The 20,429-nt window shown below is 38.5% G+C and overlaps 1 long non-coding RNA gene across 1 annotated transcript in view; it reads left to right on the top strand.

Annotated features, from left to right (window-relative positions):
* Positions 1-19,579, top strand: part of LOC124901626 (uncharacterized) — a 46,873-nt gene extending 27,294 nt beyond the window's left edge. Inside the window, exon 2 of the long non-coding RNA XR_007060316.1 lies at positions 19,424-19,579. This is a non-coding gene — a long non-coding RNA (uncharacterized LOC124901626). The remainder of the gene's footprint in view (positions 1-19,423) is intronic.
* The last annotated feature ends 850 nt before the right edge of the window (positions 19,580-20,429 follow it).

The following is a 20,429-nucleotide window of genomic DNA, read 5'->3' as shown; positions in this document are numbered from 1 at the left end:
ATAAATGGACCTTATAAGGAGGCGAAGAAACCTCCTTCTCAGATGTTTCTCCCCTGGAGCCATCGCGAGTATCTTAAATATGTTTGCTAATTACCTGGAGCCTTGGAAAATAGGCTTGTGCCTTGCCTCCTTCAGACATAATGTTTCAGTAATTAGTAATCAATTACCTCTCTGCTCCCTAGACAAGCTCGATTCCTTTTTTTCCATGATGTTCTTTCCTCACCCAAGCTGTGCTGACAGGCAATTGAGTCATATCTTTCTCAAGCCCGCCAAAAGCCACACACTGAATAAAGGGGGAGGAAGAGGGGAAAATGAAACGATACACCCCGGATAATAGATAATTAGATAATTATCCCTAGCTGAAAGCACGTTTTGGAATTTGCATTCAAAATGAAGGGAATTGGCAGAAAGAATGCTGATGTCAGGGAATGGGTAATTTTATTTCAGGGAAGTAGCTAGCGGGGAGGATTTAGTCATCCTCTGACTTGCTCCAGCCTCTTCATTTGTCTTCTTCCCTTTAGCTTTTTCGCCTATAATCTAAACTCCCCACCATTGCCAGAGAGAACATTCTAAATGTCATGCCAACATTTCTATGAGAAAAAGAAGGTATGGGGGGTGTCAAGACACTTTCGAGATAAAATCCAGATGTACCATACCTTCTATAACCTATCTCTTCCTTCATTTTCTGCCCCATTTCCCAATCCCTTGTATGGTCTATTTCAGCAATATTGAGCTACGCATTGCTCCCCAGACTCAACTTGGTTTCACAAATCTGTGCTCCCTTCTAAACTCTGTAAAATGCACCACTCTCAACCCTGGTGCTCGGAACACATATCTACGTGTCCTTATGGATTATTCTTTTCTCTTCCCCACATCTTATCTATTGGTATGTTCTGTTGATTTTGTCTTTTCCATTTATCATCAAATTTTCTATGAACACCTTGTCCAGACCACCACCTGACACCCCCATACAGTCTTCTGACTCACAGTCCAGTGCTCTCTCCTGGACAACTGCAACAGCTCCCTGACTAGTCTCCTTTTTTTTGTTTGTTTTTGTTTTTTGTTTTCTGTTTTTTTTTTTTTTTTTTTTTTTGGACCTGTGTTTCTTTACAACCCACTAGGCTTTTAAAGCTGGAAATTGGATCACATTACTCTCTGCCTAACACATTCCAGTGGTTCTCATTGTTCTTACAATAAAATCTTTTATTTATTTATTTTTAACCACATCCTGCATTGCTGACCTCTGCTCTCCTTCGTTCTTTTCCTTACATGCTTCATTTAAGTTATGGCAGAAATTGTGGCACCCTAGGGGTTGGAGGAGCCCTTCTTGAAAACCTCAGATGTCCCCTCCTCATTGCCCAGCTAAGAAAGGTCATATGAATTGCCCTTTACACATTTCAAACAGGGTGCAGCTTTGGAGACCAGGCCTCCTGAGTTACAGTCCATGCTCTTGGGGCTTGACTAAGTTCTTTGCTGTCAGTAAGGGTCCCCTTGGGCCAAGATCTGGCTGCATGGGCCCTGGGTCCCCAACTTTTCCAGCATGATGAGGATCTGGACCAGGAGCTACAAGCTCACATGCTAACAAGGACTAGGCAAGCCATGCAGAATGTAGATATGAGCTTTTTATAAGAAGAGAATAGGGGTCTTGATAGGGGTGATGGGGAGACCTTCTGTCCCTACTAAAGTGGGGAGCCACTATTTAGCATTGTTAGCTTTCACATACATAATCCACTGTTAGTAATTTTTTTTATTTTAAAAGTAATGTTCAGTTTTAATAAACAAACAAACAAAAATTGCCTGGGGGGGCTGTTAGGCCAGTGAGTGGTCTATGGTGTCGACATTCCAGGGGAAACTGCAGGGTAATGATCCAACCCTGGGAGATGAAAAGGTAAAAGGTTCAGGTAAAGGGGGAGGGGCCAAGTGTGGAAATAGGAGAGAATTGTAGGGGAAGACCAACACTGTGGGAAGGGAAGAAAGAGGTGAGGAAAGGAGGAGAGGGAGAGAAGCCAAAGAGTGTGAAGACCCTTGGAGATTCCCTTGTTACTAGTGAGCTAAGATTACATTATTTGCTTGAACATCAAGATGAAGGATAGGCCTCCACATGCCTTCCCCTGCACTCCTCATCTCTTTTTGGTGCGGTCCTCTCAGGCAAGCCCTCCGACCTGCCCCCTGCAGCCCCCGCGCTGACTTTCTCCCCTCTGCACACAGGCACACACTGCCCCTTCTCAAACTCATGGATGCATCACCAGGCAAATAGGAAATGCTACTAAATGCTGTTCTATGAGGGACAATAAATGAGTGGGAAGGTGGAGAGGAAATATTAGGAGACAGAATACAAGAAACAGGATGTCTAAGGTGGGTAAGGAGGAGCTGTGGAAGCAATCATCAACTCGGAAGTCCTGGAAATGAAGTAAATCTGTGAACAAAAGATCCAAACACCTGAAGACCTCTTCCCTTCTCACCTGGTGTTTGGGCCACACTCAAGCCTCCCACGCCTCTGTGCTCTTGGTTTCTCTGTGTGACTGCTGCCCACAGATGACTGGAAAGACATCCATTTCTAATTCTCTGCACTGGAAGTTTGGACCATGGCTCCAAATTGCTCTACCGTACACAATGTAGAAAGCTCTCCTCGGATTTGTAGCAAACTTCCGTAGGACAGGAGCCTGAGTTAAAGCATCAACAGGCAGGGGTAACATGTGAGGAGGAGAAGCTCAACCCCACGGCTGCTCTTCTTCCACTTTTCTATGTATACATTAAAAATTTTACCACCTTTCCCCCTCACCAATATTATGAGGCAGATAGAAAAATTGCTACCACTGTATAGATAAACTAAAATCCAGTTACATGATCTAGATCTAACTTCAAACTTTTTTTTTTTACTCCATAAAAAAGTTACTCATTATTTTTCAGTTACTCCTTCTCCAGTTTCCAGTTACTTATTCTCCTTTCCTCAATCCTACATCTAGGACCACCTGCCCTATAAGTTTGATCAGGATGTCAATGCAGAGTTGAGCAACTCCTCTGCCTAACTCATCTAACCCCTATCAGAGTTCACTTTTTTCTAAGCATGTTCATCACAGGGGAAATATACATTGACCACTTACTATGGGCTGGGAGTACGGCATGTAATAACTGATCTAATTTTCCTGTAATAATATCAATCTGGAAAAGACTTTTTGAGTTAAATAATCACAACTTTTCATACAACAGATCAATAATTGCTGGGTAATATAATAATTTCCATGTTTATCTTTTGGAGAAACTGCCAAACTGTTTTCCACAACTGTTTGCCACTGTGACTGTGACTGCACCATTTTATATTCCTACCAGCAACGTTTGAAGTTTCCAATTTCTCCACATGCTCAGCCAACACATTTTTTTTTTTTTTTTTTTTTTTTTGAGATGGAGTCTTGCTCTGTCACCAGGCTGGAGCGCAGTGGTGCGATCTCGGCTCCCTGCCACCTCCACCTCCTGGGTTCAAGCAATTCTCCTGCCTCAGCCTCCTGAGCTGGGACTACTGTACCCAGCTCAGCCCATGCCCAGCTAATTTTTGTATTTTTAGTAGAGATGAGGTTTTGCCATGTTGGCCAGGCTGGTCTCGAACACTTGACCTCAAGAGATCCGCCTGACTTAGTCTCCCAAAGTGCTGGCAGCATGAGCCACTGTGCCTGACCAACATTTTTTATTTTCATTAAAATAATTGTTATAGTCATCTTACTGGGTATGAAATTGTATCTCATTATGATTTTGATTTGCAATTCCCTAATCACGAATGATGCTGCACATGTTTTTATGAGTTTTTGGCCATTTGTATATCTTCTTTGAAGAAATGGCTATTCAAATCTGTGGCCCATATTTAACTGGGTTTTTGTTTTTTAAAACAAATATTACATTGTAAGAATTCTTTATGTATTCTAGATACTAGACTCTTATCAGCTATATGATTTACAGTTATTTTCCCCCATTCTGTGGATTGTCTTTTCCCTTTATTAATGGTGTTCTTTGAAGTGAAAGTTTTTAGCTTTGAGGAAATCTCTCTCTTTTTCGTTTGCTTGTTGGTGTGTGCATTTTATGTTGTATATAAGAAGCTATTGCCTAATCTAAGGTCACACAGTTTTATACCTGTTTCCTTCTAAGAGTTTAGCTCATATTTAAGTCTTTGATTTATTTTGAGATGATTTTTGCATCTGGTGTGATTTAGGGTTCAATTCATTCTTTTGCATGTCGATACGTCCAGTGTTGTCTCCATTTGTTGATAAGACTATTTTTTTCCTATTGAATTTCCTTGCCATCCTTGTCAAAAATCAGTTTACCATATATGTTTGGGTTTATTCTGTACTCTCAATCTATTTGATTAATCTATATGTCTATCCTTATGCCAGTACCACAGTGTCCTAATTATTTTAGGTTTGGAGTATGTTTCAAAATTGGGAAATCTCAGTTCTCCAACTTTGTTATTTTTTTCAAGACAGTTTTGGATATTCAAGATAACTAGTGTTTCAAAATGAATTTTAGAATTGATTTCTCCATCTCTGCAAAAATCACATTTGGAATTTTGATAGGGATTACATACTGAATCTGTAGATCAAATTGAGGATATTCCAATTTTAATAGTATTATGTCTTTCTGTCCATGAAATTAGTATGCCTCTCCATATTATTAGGTTTTCTTTGGTTTCTTTCAACATGTTTAGCAGTTTGCAGTGTACAAGTCTTACACTTTTTTTGGTTGCATTTAGTCATAACTATTTTATTATTTTGGGTGTTATTTTAAAATGATTTTTTTCTTAATTTTAATTTTAGATTATTTATTGCTAGTATATAGAAATTGGTTTTCATATATTTGTTTATCTTGCAACTTTGCTGAACTTGTTTTCTCTCTCTAATAGATTTTGTGTGTGTGTATGAAGGGGCTATGTGTGGATCCTTTAAGGTTTTCTATAGAAAAGATTATGTCATCTGCAAATAGTGATAATTTTATTTTTTTCAATCTGTGTGTGTGGAATCCTTTTATTTCTTTGTCTTGCCTAATTGCCCATGCTGGAAACTCTAGTACAGCATTGAACAGAAGTGGCAAGAGTAGACATCCTAAGAGATTAGACTTTTAGTCCTGATCTTAGAGGAAAGTTCTCAGTGTTTCACCATTAAGTATGATGTTTTCATGGGTTTTTCACACATGTGCTTCATTAGGTTGAAGAAGTTCACTCCTAATCCTAGTTTGTGAGTGTTGTTATTATGAAAGGTTGTTGGATATTATCAAATGTTCTTTCTGCATCTATTGAGATGATTGTGAGTTTCTTTTTCCCCTTTATCCTGTTAATATAGTGTATACATTGATTACTTTTTGTATGTTGGAACAAACTTGCATTCATGTAATAAAACTCACTTGGTCATGATGTATAATCCTTTTAATATGTTGCTAGATTTTGAATTGGTTTGCTAGTATTTTGTTCAGGTTTATTTTATTTATTTATTTATTTATTTATTTATTTATTTATTTATTTATTCTGGAGATGGAGTCTTGCTCTGTCACCAGGCTGGAGTGCAGTGGTGCAATCTCAGCTCACTGCAACCTCCACCTCTGGGTTCAAGCAATTCTCCTGCCTCAGCCTCCTGAGCAGCTGGGACTACAGGTGCATGCTGCCATGCTCAGCTAATTTTTTGTATTTTAGTAGAGACGGGGATTCACCATGTTGCCCGGGCTGGTCTCGAACTCCTGAGGTCAGGCAATCCGCCCCCCTCAGCCTCCCAAAATGCTAGGATTGCAGGCGTGAGCCACTGCACCTGGCTCAGGTTTCTTTTTTAAAGTTTTGTTTAAACAGTTAATTATTTATGATATTTAAATAAGAACATATTATATATTTACCTTTCATTATTTGGAATCTACATGTAGATTCTCACCTGTTATTATTTTTCATGCCTACAGATCTTCTTTTAGTATTTCTTGTAGTTTGGGATGGCTAGGGATGATTTTTTTTTTTCAGCTTTTGTATATCTGAGAAAGACTTTATTTTACATTTGCTTTTAAAAGTTATTTTTGTTGGCCAAATAATTTTAGATTGACAGTGCTTTTCTTTCAATATTTTACATATATCACTTCACTGTCTTCTTGCATTTTTTTCTGATGATAAATCTGCTCTCATTTTATCTTTGTTCTTCCGTATATAATGTGGGATTTTTTTCTTTGCCTTTAGGAGTTTTGTATTCTCATTCTAAGCAATTCGTTTAAAACATTCTTGATGTGATTTATTTATATTTCTTTTGCTTGAGGTTCATTGATCTTTTTGAATAAGTGAGCTTACAGTTTTCATCAAATTTGGAAATTTTGGCCATTATTAATTCAAATAATTTTTCTGTCCCTTCTTTCTTGAAGATTCCAGATACACACATATTAGGTCATTTTGAAGTTGATCCACGGCTTGTTGATGGTCTATTTATTTATTTCTGAAATTATTTTTTTCTTTGTTGCATTTTAAGTATTTTCTCTTGCTATGTTGTCAAGTTCACAAATCTTTTTTCCTACAATATCTCATATGCCATTAATTCCATCATTGTATTTTACTTCATAGACATGTTAATTTTTATCTTTAGCAGTTTGATTTTTAAAATATTTTCCATTCTTCTACTTGTTTAATGGTTTTTCTAGTTTGCCCAGAGACTGCAGTTACAACTGTTTTGATGTCCTTGTCTGATCACTCTAACATCTGTGATAGTTCTGAACTGGCTTAAATTGATTAGTTTTTCTTCTCAAAATGGCTTAAATACTCATGTATATTTCCTCTCTCCTTCCTGGAAACACTTGATTGAATGTCGGGCATTGAGAATTTTACCTTTCTGGTGCTGAACGTTTTTGTATTTTCTTAAATATTATTGAGCTTTGTTCTGGAATTCCTTAGGTTACTTGGAAACACTTTGAAGCTTTTGGGACTTATCTTTAATGTTCGTTAGGCAGGTGATCAAGTTTGGATATTTGCCCTGCCCAAATCTCATGTGGAAATGTAATCCCTAGTGTTGGAGGTGAGGCCTGGAGGAGGTGTTTGGGTCATGGGGGCAGCTCCTTCATGGCTTAGTGCTGTACTTGTGATAGTGAGTTCTTGTGAGATCTGGTTGTTTAAAAGTGTCTGGTACTTCCCCTACCTCTCTCTCTCTCTTTTCCTGCTCTTGCCTTGTAATGTGCCTGCTCCTGCTTTGCCTCTTGCCATGAGTAAAACTCCATGAGGTCTCCCTTGAACCCGAGCAGATGGTAGTGTCATGCTTCTATACCCTGCCAAAATGTGAGCCAAGTATACCTCTGTTCTTTATAAAGTACTCAGCCTCTGGTGTTCTCTATAGCAATGCAAAGAATGGCTTAACACAGTAGGATGTTTAATATTTGAAAATCTCATTATAATGTCAATTATTCCTCAATCATAAGGTTAGATCCGTCTGAGTATCCTGCCCAATTCCCTTTGAATTATTAAGTTTTCCATTCTAGTTAGTGGGAACAGGCACCACTTTTAGCTGTGTGTAGGAGTACCAGACACTGTTTTCTCTCACCCTTTTATGTGATGGTTTAATGGTTCTGGTTTAATGGCCAGATGATTTAATGGCCGTGTTTTTGTGGCCTTCAGTATTTTCCATACCTGCATGAGTTTATCAGAACTCTCTTGTGTACTCAAAGATGACCCTCTGTGGTCTCTAGGGTTCTCTGTGCAGACCTCTAAGCCCTAATACCCACTCCTGGGAACTCTAACCACCTTGGTCTCTCTCTGTCTAGCACCATCTCAACCCTACTTGGCTCTGCATAGGTTCACTCCCTGGGACATGTCCCCAAAACTCTGTGACGGTTCTAGGTGGAAGCAGTTGCAAGGCTCACCTCTCGTGTTTCCTTTCAGGGGTTGCTGTTTGATAGGCAGTGTCTTGAAAGGTATTGTTTCAAATATCTTTTTCTCTGTTTGTTTTTTGTTTTGTAGTTGTTCAGCCAGAAAGGTAAATTTAATTCTTGTTGCTCAATCTTGACCTAAGTGGATGTCTCTCTTGTTTGCATTTTAACATAGGCTAATTCTTCAGAAAGATTGCAGATTACTCTATAACACTCATTTTCTTTCATTCTGTTCTCACAGTTCTGTAACACAAAAGATCCACATGTTCATCCCTCTCTTTATAGTGCATTGCCCTCCTTTATTACTCATCCCCAAATGTCTCTTTCCTGTTTGATTTTCCCTTACCACTGTGGTGTATAGTAATTTTCACTCTGCTTAATGATGTGTTCATCATCTTCAGTGAACTCTCAGCTCCTTGCAGGCACAGATTGTGTCTTATTCATCTCTAATATTTCTTCCACTTATGAACAGAGTTGGTTTTAGTAAATATTTTTTGAAAGGATGAATAAATGAATGGAAAGAAATTTGTGAAATTATGGTTATCAGACATTGGCTAGTATCTGAGGGACATTTTGGAGTGATAGTGCATTACACTCTGGGTGCTTCAAGAAGCAGACACCATCTCAAGAGAGATATAAAGGAGATTTTGGGAAAAGTATCTGTGAAAGGTAAAGAAATAGCAGGAGAAGAGGAGAGACTTCCTACCATGATGCCACCTGACACTTGTGACAGCAGAGAGGACAGGAAGGATTAGGTAGAAAGCTTCTGATTGAAATGCAGCTTTGAAAGAGTCTTGCCCAGGTTGATAGGAAGAACTGAAGCAAATAGTGCCTGTTGCAGGAGACTCGCATCAGACAGAAATGGCCTGGTGTTGGTAGCCCTGTGTCCAGTCTTTGGCTGGAGCAGCCCTGGGGAATCAGGGCCGCAGCAGGAACACAATGGCAGATCCAAAGACATTGCCTTGCAGGCTGCCAGTAAGCTGTGCTCCCCATGGCAGGTTTTCTTGAAGATCTGAGGGTGTAAAACTATGGCTACCACAGATGGGCAGGAGGTAGGACAGGGAGTAGCTGTGGTGATTCAAATGTCTGCTGCCCACTTCTGTGACTCCTCATGACAGAATCCTGCCAGCTGCTGGAGCCAACCATCGGGGCATTCATGGGCAGTCCATCTCTATAAGCATGCAGGTCTTGCAGTTGATCTATAACTGCCTGCAGCCCAGGTTCCAGCTGTCTCTCTAAATCTACTGGGCCAGGGCAAAGAGTCTCATTGCTTATTGAAGAATTTCTTTATGAGCCTCCTGCCTTGAGTGCTGGCAGATGTAATTTGTTGCCTTTATTATCTTGTAAAGATGTTAATCTCCAACCACAGCGAGGGGTTGCTTCTGTGATTGATTTTGCTTTGCTACTTGACAGGTTGAAGAGCTTGCAGAATCTCTGTGCCACGCTTGCCAAGGTTCTTGCATCCCTCATCTGTCATAGAGAAAGTGGTGGAGATAAAATTGTGCCAGCAGCACCTTGTCAAACCCCTGCTACAGGCATCCATTGTGAGTCATGGGATAAAGGATAAGAGAGCAGCCAGAGGCTTCAGCATCATATGTCTGAGTTCTGCAGAAAGGTTTGGAATCCACAGACTTTCACTACACTGTTGCCACTAAGTTGCACTCTGCCCCCAGCACAGGAAGATCTGGTCCAAAATGTACATAAAACAGCAAATGGGATATAGAAGTTGGGTTCTGCACTTGCAGACACTTCCTGTTTCGTACTATGGCCCTAGGCCAGCTCTTGTTCCTATCTGCATGTTCCGCTCACTCAGATCCATAGTCCCATCATGTGATTCTAGTTCTAGTCACCTGGTCTTCTCATAAATGGAGCTCTGGAGATGGGCACTGGGGTGACACTGTCTCTGAAGCCCGTGCTCTTGATCACTGTGTCTCATCCCATTGCCTCTGCCAATGGCTGGCTGGAGCAATGAATGCTATGAAGCTGACAAAATCACAATTCTGTACAGAGATCCACAGACACATACAGAAAACAAAAACTGAGGACATTTAGAAATAGAGGCTTAGCAAATATATCAAAGACTGTATTTGTTTCCTTTTGCTGCCATAACAAATATTTGCAAACGGAGCTGCTTAAAACAACATGCAACTCACTGTCCTGTAAATCAGAAGTCTGGGAGGAGCATGGCTCATCTGGGCTTCCAGGCTAAAATCCAGGTGTCAGAAGGACACTGTTTCTTTCTGGGGTCTCGGGATGATTCTGCCTCCAAGTTCCTGCAGGTTAGCAGAAGTCAGTTCCTTGTGGTTGTAGGATTGCGTCTCTGTTTCCTTGCTAGCTGTCAGCTGGAGGTGATCTTTAGCATCCAGGTGCCACCTGTGTTCTTTGGTTTGTGGCCTTCCTCCTCCAGGTTCAAAGCCAGCAATGATGGTGAAGTCCTCACATTTCAATTATTTTTTCCTTCTGCCGTAATTCTGCCATCTCTTCTTTTCCCAGATAGCTGGAGACAGTTCTTTGTGAGGGCTCATGGATTAGGTTAGGCATACCCAGAAAATCCAGGATAGTCTCTCAATTTTAAGGGCCATAACTTAACTCACATCTGCAAAGCCCATCTTGCCATGCACTGTGGTAATTCATACATTCTACAGAGTGGGATGTGGGCATCTTTGGGGGGAGGAGGAAAGAGATGGAGATGAAAGCACATACAGTCCTGGAGAATAAAAACAGGGAATTCGGAGGAGTTAGAAATGAGAACGCTGTTGCAGGTAGTGAAAGTGACATAAAGATTTTGCAACATAATTTAAACAAAAATATCCATTTTATTACCTTTGACTTGAAGACAACAGGCCCACAAGGTCCCACCTTTTCAGTCTTTTGGACCCTCGCACTTACATTGTGACTTGAATAAAATATTAATTACTTTTAGATATCAAAGGGTAGGTGAGTCCAATAAGTGTTGGCACTGAGACAATAAATGATGGATCTTTCTAAAGTTTTTCTAAGTTTTGTCTTCCTGCGTCAAATTGGAAGGGCTTGTATGGAATTGTTAACTGAGGGAAGTTGAAGCCAATGCACACATACCTGGGAGAACTGGGGGAGTTAGTCAGGGTAATCTTCTTGCAGCTTGACATTTTCCAGTGTTCAACCCACATCTGGCCTCGTGGAGTCATTATTAGGGGAAAGGGCATGCATAGAATGTGGGGCCAGAATATCCGAGTCAAATCTGGATGCTAGAGTTTATAGTTATGTTATCTGGAGCAAGCTACTTAGCCTACTGGGGAATTTGTTTTCTTAGCTGTAAAAAGGGGGTATCACATCTAAAAGATTATTATAAGTCCTCAATAAACAGCAGTATAACTTGTTGTTAAGCATCTTACACTTCTCATATTTTTCCAATTTTTCCTCTGGATTTTTTCCAAATGTGTAGGCCACAGAAGTTAGTTTAGTATTCATATCCATGTAATGGATCTTTTCACAGTAAATAATTGTCCAAGATTCCACAGAGTGGCCTCCAGCCTGAAAAGGATGGTGAAGGCCTGCCATGGAGGAAGAGTCGAAGGACTTGGGGAGTCTTACCTGCAGAAGAGAAGGCCCAGGGAGTCATGGGTTGAAGCATATGAAATTGATGATATTCAGCCATTTTGACCTAAAAATTGGTAATTTCATAAGACTCAACATAATAGATGAAAACTTTTCCAGGCATCCTGCAGCCTGTCACGGGAAACATAAACTGAGTCAGTATATACATCAACAAAATAAAGACCTATCAATTAATTAGTGGGAACTTGCTTGGAAACAGCCAATGTAAGGAAGGATTTCAGCACAGTTAAACAGTCTAAAGATGCAATAAGCTATTATTAGAGACACCATTTCCTGTCAGTGGAGATGTTCAAGAATAACCTGGACTACCACATGGTAATTCAATCCTCAAATATCAGTTTTTCACTTTACAAATTTTAAGCCCCCTCTCACCCCAAGATTTTGAATTTTAGACTTAAATAGTCTAAACAATTATTATTTAGCATTCAAATCCAGTGTATGTGATATATAAACTTTTAAAGGTTATTAATAGAATGTGGAAAGTTAATTAAATACATAATTTATCTTGTTTTACTAGGTTAATATTTATTCCCTATCTATTTCCAAAATAGCTAAGGTAGATTATTAACCTAAAATGTAAAAGTAGGAGTAAACACATCAGAAGAAATATAATTTATAATCATTTTGCATTACTTAAAAGTGCATCTCATAATTCTGTAAATTATAAAAATCATTTAGCTGATCCCTGACATGAAAGCCCATTGAGTTCCTTAGTTTTCTGCTAATTTAAAAAAATATATTTTTTAAGTATTTATTTTATTTTATAGAGATAGGATCTCCCTGTGTTGCCCAGACTAGTATCAAATTTCTGTCCTCAAGGGTTCCTCTTGCCTCAGCCTCCCAAAATGCTGAAAATACAGGTGTGAGATACTGTGTCTGGCCAGAAAACAAAACAAAACAAAAACAAAAACATAACCCCAAATTATTATTTTATATTATTAAAATATTCAGAAGCAGCATTGTTTTCTGAAATTCCTCATTATAATTATATATTCTGCCCAGTTTATAGGCCATTATAATGTAATGTAAATTTGTGGATTGGCTTTTTATTTTTCTTACAAAGAAAAACTTAAACATTTCCATTAAGTCAGTCTTCCTCCTCCCGGGCCTGGCTCCCTTCTCCACATCTGCTTACCAGGGTGACCTCAGTGTCTTGGGATCGAGCCTTTCCATGACAGCCCTCATGTAGAGACCTCCAGCCTAGACCCAGGTGGGTGCAGCAGTGATCTCACTGGCTTGCTGAAGGATTCTCGCCTTCCTGCAGTCTAACAAGCTCTCAGAAGGCTTTCAGCCAGAGCTGGGCCCATGGTAAAGAGAGCAGCTCAGGAAGCCTGGGTCTCGCCTGAAGTGCTAATGCACCCCAGAGATCCCATTCCAAAAGACAGGGAGCTGGTGGCATTGGCCTTTCCTCAAACTCTCAGACAAAGCACCCCACATATGACTCTGGGCTAGGGGTGAGTGCTCTCTCTGTCTCTCTCTCTTTTTAACTAAGCAAGATAGAAAAAATATTAAGATAGACATGAATACAGGTTAAGAGAATGGAGTATTAGTCTTGGCTCTCTCTAGATTCTCTTGTTCATTTTCCCATTGAACTGGGAAGAATCGGGTCAAGGAACAGGAAGCACCAGGGCACCGAGAGCAGCATCTTCCCTGGACGTTTCTATCATAGATCATCCTAACGAGAGTTTTCTTTTGTGATAAGGAGGATGATAATAATGTCTTCTTCCTGTGATCTGAAACCCCAGGGAGGGAGAGTATTCCATCTGCACCAGCTTTGTAGATGAACAGAAGGTGGTGATAAACATCTCAAGAGAAGGAGTTAGGAAACGTTTTCATTTTTGTTTTGTGTTCTCTTTCTCTCCTAAGTTTGAAAGTTTGAAAAAATTACCTTGAAAGGTCAATTCAATTTGACAGTCCTCTTTTTTTTTTTTTTTTTTTTTTTTTTTTTTTTTTTTAAATGGAGTCTCACTTCGTCGCCCAGGCTGGGTTGCAGTGGCGCGACCTCGGCTCACTGCAAGCTCCGCCTCCTGGGTTCAAGCCATTCTCCTGCCTCAGCCTCCCAAGTAGCTGGGACTACAGGTGCCCACCACCATGCCCGGCTAATTTTTTTTATTTGTTGTACTTTTAGTAGAGACAGGGTTTCACCGTGTTAGCCAGAATGGTCTCGATCTGCTGACCTCGTGATCTGCCGGCCTCGGCCTCCCAAAGTGCTGGGATTACAGTCATGAGCTGCCGCGCCCGGCCTTGACAGTCCTCTTTGACAAAAAGCGAAAAATAATATTCTGCAAATTATTGCAACTTTGTCACTAAAATTTCAAAAGTATTCACATTAAGGTACACCATACCCAGATTTTAGTGTTTACCTAGTGATTTGCATCTATGTTTTCTTTTTCAAGTTTCTTTTTTTCTGTTTCAATTCAATTAAACAAATATCTGTTGACACCTAACAGCCCCTGGGGTGATACAAACATGTTTGAGATGGAGATTCTACTCTCCACCATTTAAAATAAGAAAGCCAGGTTAATAAGCAGTCTGGATTTTAAAAAATGAAAATATCAGAGAAAGCAAGAAATAAAGGAGGAAAGAAGGACGAGAAGAAAGGAAGGAGGAAGAAAAAGGAAAGAGAAAGGTATTGGATATCATATCTCTGCTATCTCCTTCCAGTGTTGGCTCAGTTTTTCGTTCCCATTTATCCTAGGATTGTGGTTAGCATTGTGTCATTTATCAATGGATTTAAATTCCACCTCTGCCCATTATCATCTGTATGATTTTTTAAGCAAGTTATTTAAGCCTCAGTTTTCTCATCTATAGATTGTTAACCATCATTATTACTAATGCCTATCCACATGCAGAAGAATGAAACTGGATTCTCACCTTTCAGTATATACAAAAATTAACTCAAGATGGATTAAAGGTTTAAATATAAGACCTCCAACTATACAGATCCTCGAAGAAAACCTAGGAAATACCCTCTCAACACTGGCCTTGGCAAATAATTTTTGACTAAGTTCCCCAAGGCAATTACAATAAAAACAAAAATTGACAAGTGGGACCTAATGAAACTAAAGAGCTTCTGCACAGCAAAAGAAACTATCGATAGAGTAAATAGACAACCTAAAGAATGGAGAAAATACTCACAAACTATACATCCAACAAAGGTCTAATATACAGAATCTGCGAGGAGTTTAAACAAATCAATGAGCAAAAAACAAATAACCAAATTAAAAAATGGTCAAAGGATAAGAATAGACACTTTTCAAAAGATGACACACAAGCAACAAATTAATGTTAAAAAATGGTCATCACCACTCGTTATCAGAGAAATGCAAATCAAAACCAACACAAGCGACCATCTCATACCTGTCAGAATGTTTTTATTAAAAAGTCAAAAAACAGCAGATGCTGGAGAGGCTGTAGAAAAAAGGGAATGCTTATACATTGCTGATGGGCATGTAAATTAGTTCAGCCACTGTGGAAAGCAGTGAGGAAATTTCTCAACAAACTTAAAACAGAGCTACCATTCCACCCAGCAATCCCATTACTGTGTACATACCCGGAGGAAAATAGATTATACCAAAAAGACACATGCACTTATATGCTCATCATCATGTTATTCACAATAGCAAAGACATGGAATCAACCTAGATGCCCATCAAGGCTGGACTGGATGAAGAAAATGTAGTACAGATACACCATGGGCTGCTATATAACCGTGACAACAACAAAATCATATCCTTTGCAGCAATGTGTATGGAGCTGGAGACCATAATCCGAAGTGAGTTAATGCAGGAACAGCAAACCAAATACTGCATGTTCTCGCTTTCAAGTGGGAGCTAAACATTGAGCACACATGGACAGAAGGGGGAAAGGAGGGAGGGGGCCTGGGCTGAAAAACTACCTGTTGGGTACTTTGCTCATTACCTGAGTACAATATATCCATTTTACAAACTTGTACATGTGTTCCCTTTATCTAAAAGTTGAAATTTAAAAAATATATATTAAGGCCTGTATTAGTCCGTTTTCATGCTGCTGATGAAGACATACCTGAGACTAGGCAATTTATAAAGAAAAAGAGGTTTAATGAATTCACAGTTCTACATGGGCTGGGGAGGCCTCACAACCATGATGGAAGGCAAAAGGCACATCTTACGTGGTGGCAGAAAAGAGAGAATAAGAGCCAAGTGAAAAGGGAAACCCCTTATAAAGTCATCAGGTCTCCTGAGACTTATTTACTACCCTGAGAACAGTATGGGGGAAACCATCCCCTTGATTCAATTATCTCCCACTGAATCCTTCCCATGACACATGGGAATTATGGGAGCTACAATTCAAAGTGAGATTTGGGTGGGGACACAGCTAAACCATATCAAGGCCTATCACTGAGAATGAATATCTAGGCCAAGTGTGGTGGCTCACACCTGTAATCCCAGCACTTTGGGAGGTCAAGAGAGCAGGTTCAATTGAGCCCAGGAGTTCGAGACCAGTGTGGGCAACACAGCAAGGCCCTCTCTCATACAATAAATAAATAAGAAAAAAAATGAGAGTGCGTACCTATGGATATGTTTGTCATTACCTCAGCATGGCCAATTATGCTATTTTTACATCTGCATTTATTTTCCTGTATTTTATATTTCACTTAAAGAACTTTTAAGTCTTCTTTTGCTTATTATTTCCGTTTCACCATCTTTGCTTTCTAAATTGTGATGCCATGCTATTTAGCAGGAAAAGAATTAAATCATTATAATTTTATTGTGGAACTTCATTAAAAATTTAGCAACTCGATCATAGGTAATATGTTTTATCTTACATTCCACTGCCTTTAAAAATGAAAAGGCCTGTCTCTTTTGCTTTTGGTTAAATTGGCCTGGTGTATCTATGATCATTTCATTTCTCCCTCTGTCTCCTTATATTGGTCAATCTGTTTACCTTTAGCCGTTGTGTATCACTTTTCTTAGGTCAGTCTTTTATAAATATTTAGATTTTTTCAACTAATTACATATTTTTTTAAACCATTAAGTTTGTCTTACTAGATTTTTTTTTTAAAAAATATAAGATCTTTTTAATGCTAGATTGAATGTTTGACTCTTATAATTCAGTAGCCGAAAATAATCTTCCCTCCTTCTCTGCTTCTCTCTCTTTCTCCCTATCTCCCTTCCTTCTTTTCTTCCATAAACACTTGCATGACACAGTGCAGAGTTCTAAGTGCTTTATAGGTGTTAACTCATTTAATCCTAATCAAAACTATGTCATGGAGGTAGGTGCTGTTATCACTTCCATATTGCAAAGGGAGAAACTAAGGTACAGAGAGACAAGGAAACCTTTCCCATTTCATAGAGCTCCTAGTGCCCCACAGAGAACTGACCCTGAGCAGCCTGGCCCTTAATCCCAACACTCTCCTCCACAATCAAACACACATGCTTTGGTCCAGGAGATAAAGTGTCAGAGTGGACCCTGTGGAGGGATTCTGGGAAATGGTTTCTCTGATCCATGAAGGTGCCTGCGGTCATAACCATTCCTGACCCAGAGCTCCTGGATGCAGCCAGGGCCACAGCAGGTGCAGTGGTTATAGTGAATGGAACATGTGGTGCAGCAGCCTCCACACCGAGGGGGCATGAGTGAGGCCATGCTAGCAGGAGTGGAGAGCCACATTGGCCTGTACAATGGTCCAAAACAGGAAAACACCAGGGAGGACTCATATTTATGCCCTACATTTTTAGAGAAATTTACACAGAGGTCCTGTGGCATCTCAGCCAGGCCTTGTTCTGAGTACTTGTCCTTAGGCAGAATGATTGACAGCCCGATTCTCCATCAGCATGCTGTGACTCAGTCTTCAGAATAGAAAATTCATTCCTTCTGGTTATAGGGAGATACATAAATCCATGAAAACTCTATAGATGTAGTAGTTAAAGAAGAAATTGTTGTGTTGGTTTTGCTGTTGTAAATCTGTGAGATATAGTATTCAGTACCAATTTAAAGTAAAAGATTATAGTGTATTTTTTCCATTAAAGTTTTAAGTGTTTAAAATTTAGCTTTTCAGTAACATTTATTTTCAACTAATTTAATGTGGTAAATATTTAATGGGTTGCTATAATTATTGTAATGTTTGTATAATATTCTATTTCCCTATTTAATTTACAAAACTTCCAAATCCTGATATAACTAAACTGTGTTTTCTGCTAATATAAATGACACTACAGTGAATAATCTTTAGACATGCGACAGTTTGCCTAGAATAAGTTAATTACAGAGAAGATTACTTTGTTGAAAAGTATTAATCAACATGTAACCTATGTTACATGGTATGTGGATTTACCACAAATATAAGGAGTTAACCACAAATGTAAGCTCTTAATACTTTTCAGAAAGTTTGTGCTGTTATAATGCTTCCAGCGGTTCCTAAGTGTACCAATTTTACTACAATTTCAAAAACGTCATGTTCGTTCATTTAGTGGCTACAAAAGTTGCCTTAAATCTTGCTTCAATTTGCATTACCTTCATAACTCTTAAGCATTAATCTTATTGAATATTGCTTGTTATAGAGTTGTCTTTGTATAGGAATTGTTGACAGTACATTAGATGTCCACAAAGGTTAATTCTAAATCTGATGGACTATGTATGAACACCTTCTAATCCGGGATATGTCTATAATAAAGAAAAAGGTCATTTATGTTGGATTAAACCATTAGATAATTATATATTTATGCACACACACATGTATATATAAATGATAGTGAATGAAATGATAGCTAGTGTGGAGACCTTTGAAGGAACAAGAGTGAAAACAGAGATACTTTTAAAATAAGCTATATAATAAACTTTCATCTGAGTTGGTAATAAAAACTTTGAAATAAAAAATGCCATAAGCTGGGATTTATGTGAAAGTTGTGGAGATTTTAAAGAAAGCAGAGATTTATGTGAAAGTTGTGGAAATTTTAATGAAAGCAGAGATTTATGTGAAAGTTGTGGAGATTTTAATGGGAAATATGGCAAGGAGAAGAAGTAAATAAATTATATTTTCCTTCTTTATTGTACAATTTTTTTGTATTATAAATTATAATTAATTGTATTAATCATTAAATAAATGAACATTGCAATTAACAATTCAAAGATTAAAGTGACACATATAAACAAAATAGACAACAAAAATATATTGAAAAGCTATGAAGATAATATGGAAAGATTAGAACAGTTCCGAGATATGACTTTCCACTGAATGAAATTAGAATGCTATTTTCTTGTAGCACTCTATCCCACTGCGAAGAAAAGAAGATTTAAGAAGAGATCTCACATAACAACAATGGCTATCAACTAATCACCACATTTTTCAATTATTTTAATCCATCAGTTTTTAACCTGAGGTCTATGAATGTCTAATAACCTGCATTTGGGGGCAGTGAGGTTCTGTCTTAGTCTTCACATGGCTGTAACAGAATCCCACAGGCTGGGTGGCTAAAAAACAATATGGATTTATTTCTCACATTTCTGGAGTCTGGCAGTCCATGATCAAGATGCTGGCAGATATGGTCTCTGGTGAGGGTTTGCTTCCTTGCTCACAGATGGTGCCTTCTCACTGTATCCTCACAAGGCAGAAGAAATCAGGCAGCTCTTTAGGGCCTCTTTCATAAGGGCACTAATACCATTCATAAGGGCTTCATCCTCATGACCTAATCACTTCCTAAAAGACCTGCTTCCAAATATTTTCACATTACAGATTAGGTTTCAATACGTGAATTATGAGGTTGGGGCACACAGATACTCAGTCTATAGCAGGTTCCATAGTTTTTACAAAATTCTTAGGGTGATCTATATTCAAATGAAGGACGAGAAGAATTGATATAATTCCACAAATAAGCATAAAAAATTTAACAAAGCATTTTATCATAGAACTTTATAACCGTAATAGTCTAGAAAAAGAAGAATCCATGAGTTCATTCAATCCACTATTATCTGTTTTGCTTTTTACTAGGACCAGGCCCAGAAGACTCCTGGCTTCCACACATACCCATGAATCACCTGATTAAGGCCCACTCTCAGGATTATTCCCCTATCAATGCACTGAATCTACTTTCAACCAAGGTACCAAAAACTTCATTGCTCAATCTAATAAACTCCTTTCAATGAAGTCCTACTTGTCCTGTGTCTTCTGACAGTGTTGTCAATACCGTTTTAAAGCCCATGTTCTAGTTTTCCTTATTTTCTGTCTCTGGGTCTAGGTTCTTCGTTCACTTACTTCCATTTTTTCTTAAAAGAGTTTTCACGTAACTGGTCTTTTCCCCCTGCCTCCTTTTATTTCCTAAAGCATAAAAAGAACTCTGTCATTATCATATTTACAAACATATAATGCCCTCAAAATAAAGTAAAAGACAAATTCACTTTTGTGTAAAAATAAACTATACTTTTTTAATTGGCTTATAGAATTTTTCCAATTTTCATCCCATTTTCCCTCTTCCAGCTCTCACACATTGTAGCTTACTCAATTTTTATTTACTGATAACTCTTTGTCAGAAAGTTAAGCTCCTTGAACATAGTGAGGAAAACAGTAAATAATTGTGTAAAATCTAGTGGATGAACATGCAGTTTATATGTTGAAGTATTTATATTATGTTGATTTGCATAAAATTGCTGATATTAAATCACTTTTGAATTTCAAATACAGCAAAGTCATGTGTTTCATCTAATATTATTATATGTTGTGACAAGTTCTGTGAAAGTCAAAACAGTGTTTAAAGGTTATTAGCAGTTTCTTAGTAAGGAGTTGATTTAATACCAGACAACAATATCTATTTTCTATATCTTGCTAATTGCAAGAATATGTAGTAAATCGTATAGAGTTCTTACTCATAAAAACAAAAACAGAATTTTTTGAAAAGATACCTAACTCTCTCTATATAGGTTTAAATTTATATAAAGTTCTTGCTTTATGTTGAGGAGATGGGGAGATTATAGCTCTCTGAAAATAGCTGTTTCCCGAT

This window comes from Homo sapiens, chromosome 7 (genome assembly GCF_000001405.40).
Source record: "Homo sapiens chromosome 7, GRCh38.p14 Primary Assembly".
Taxonomy (NCBI): Eukaryota; Metazoa; Chordata; class Mammalia; order Primates; family Hominidae; genus Homo; species Homo sapiens.
The sequence above is the reverse complement of the archived record's forward strand: the minus strand, read 5'-3'. Positions and strand labels throughout refer to the sequence as shown.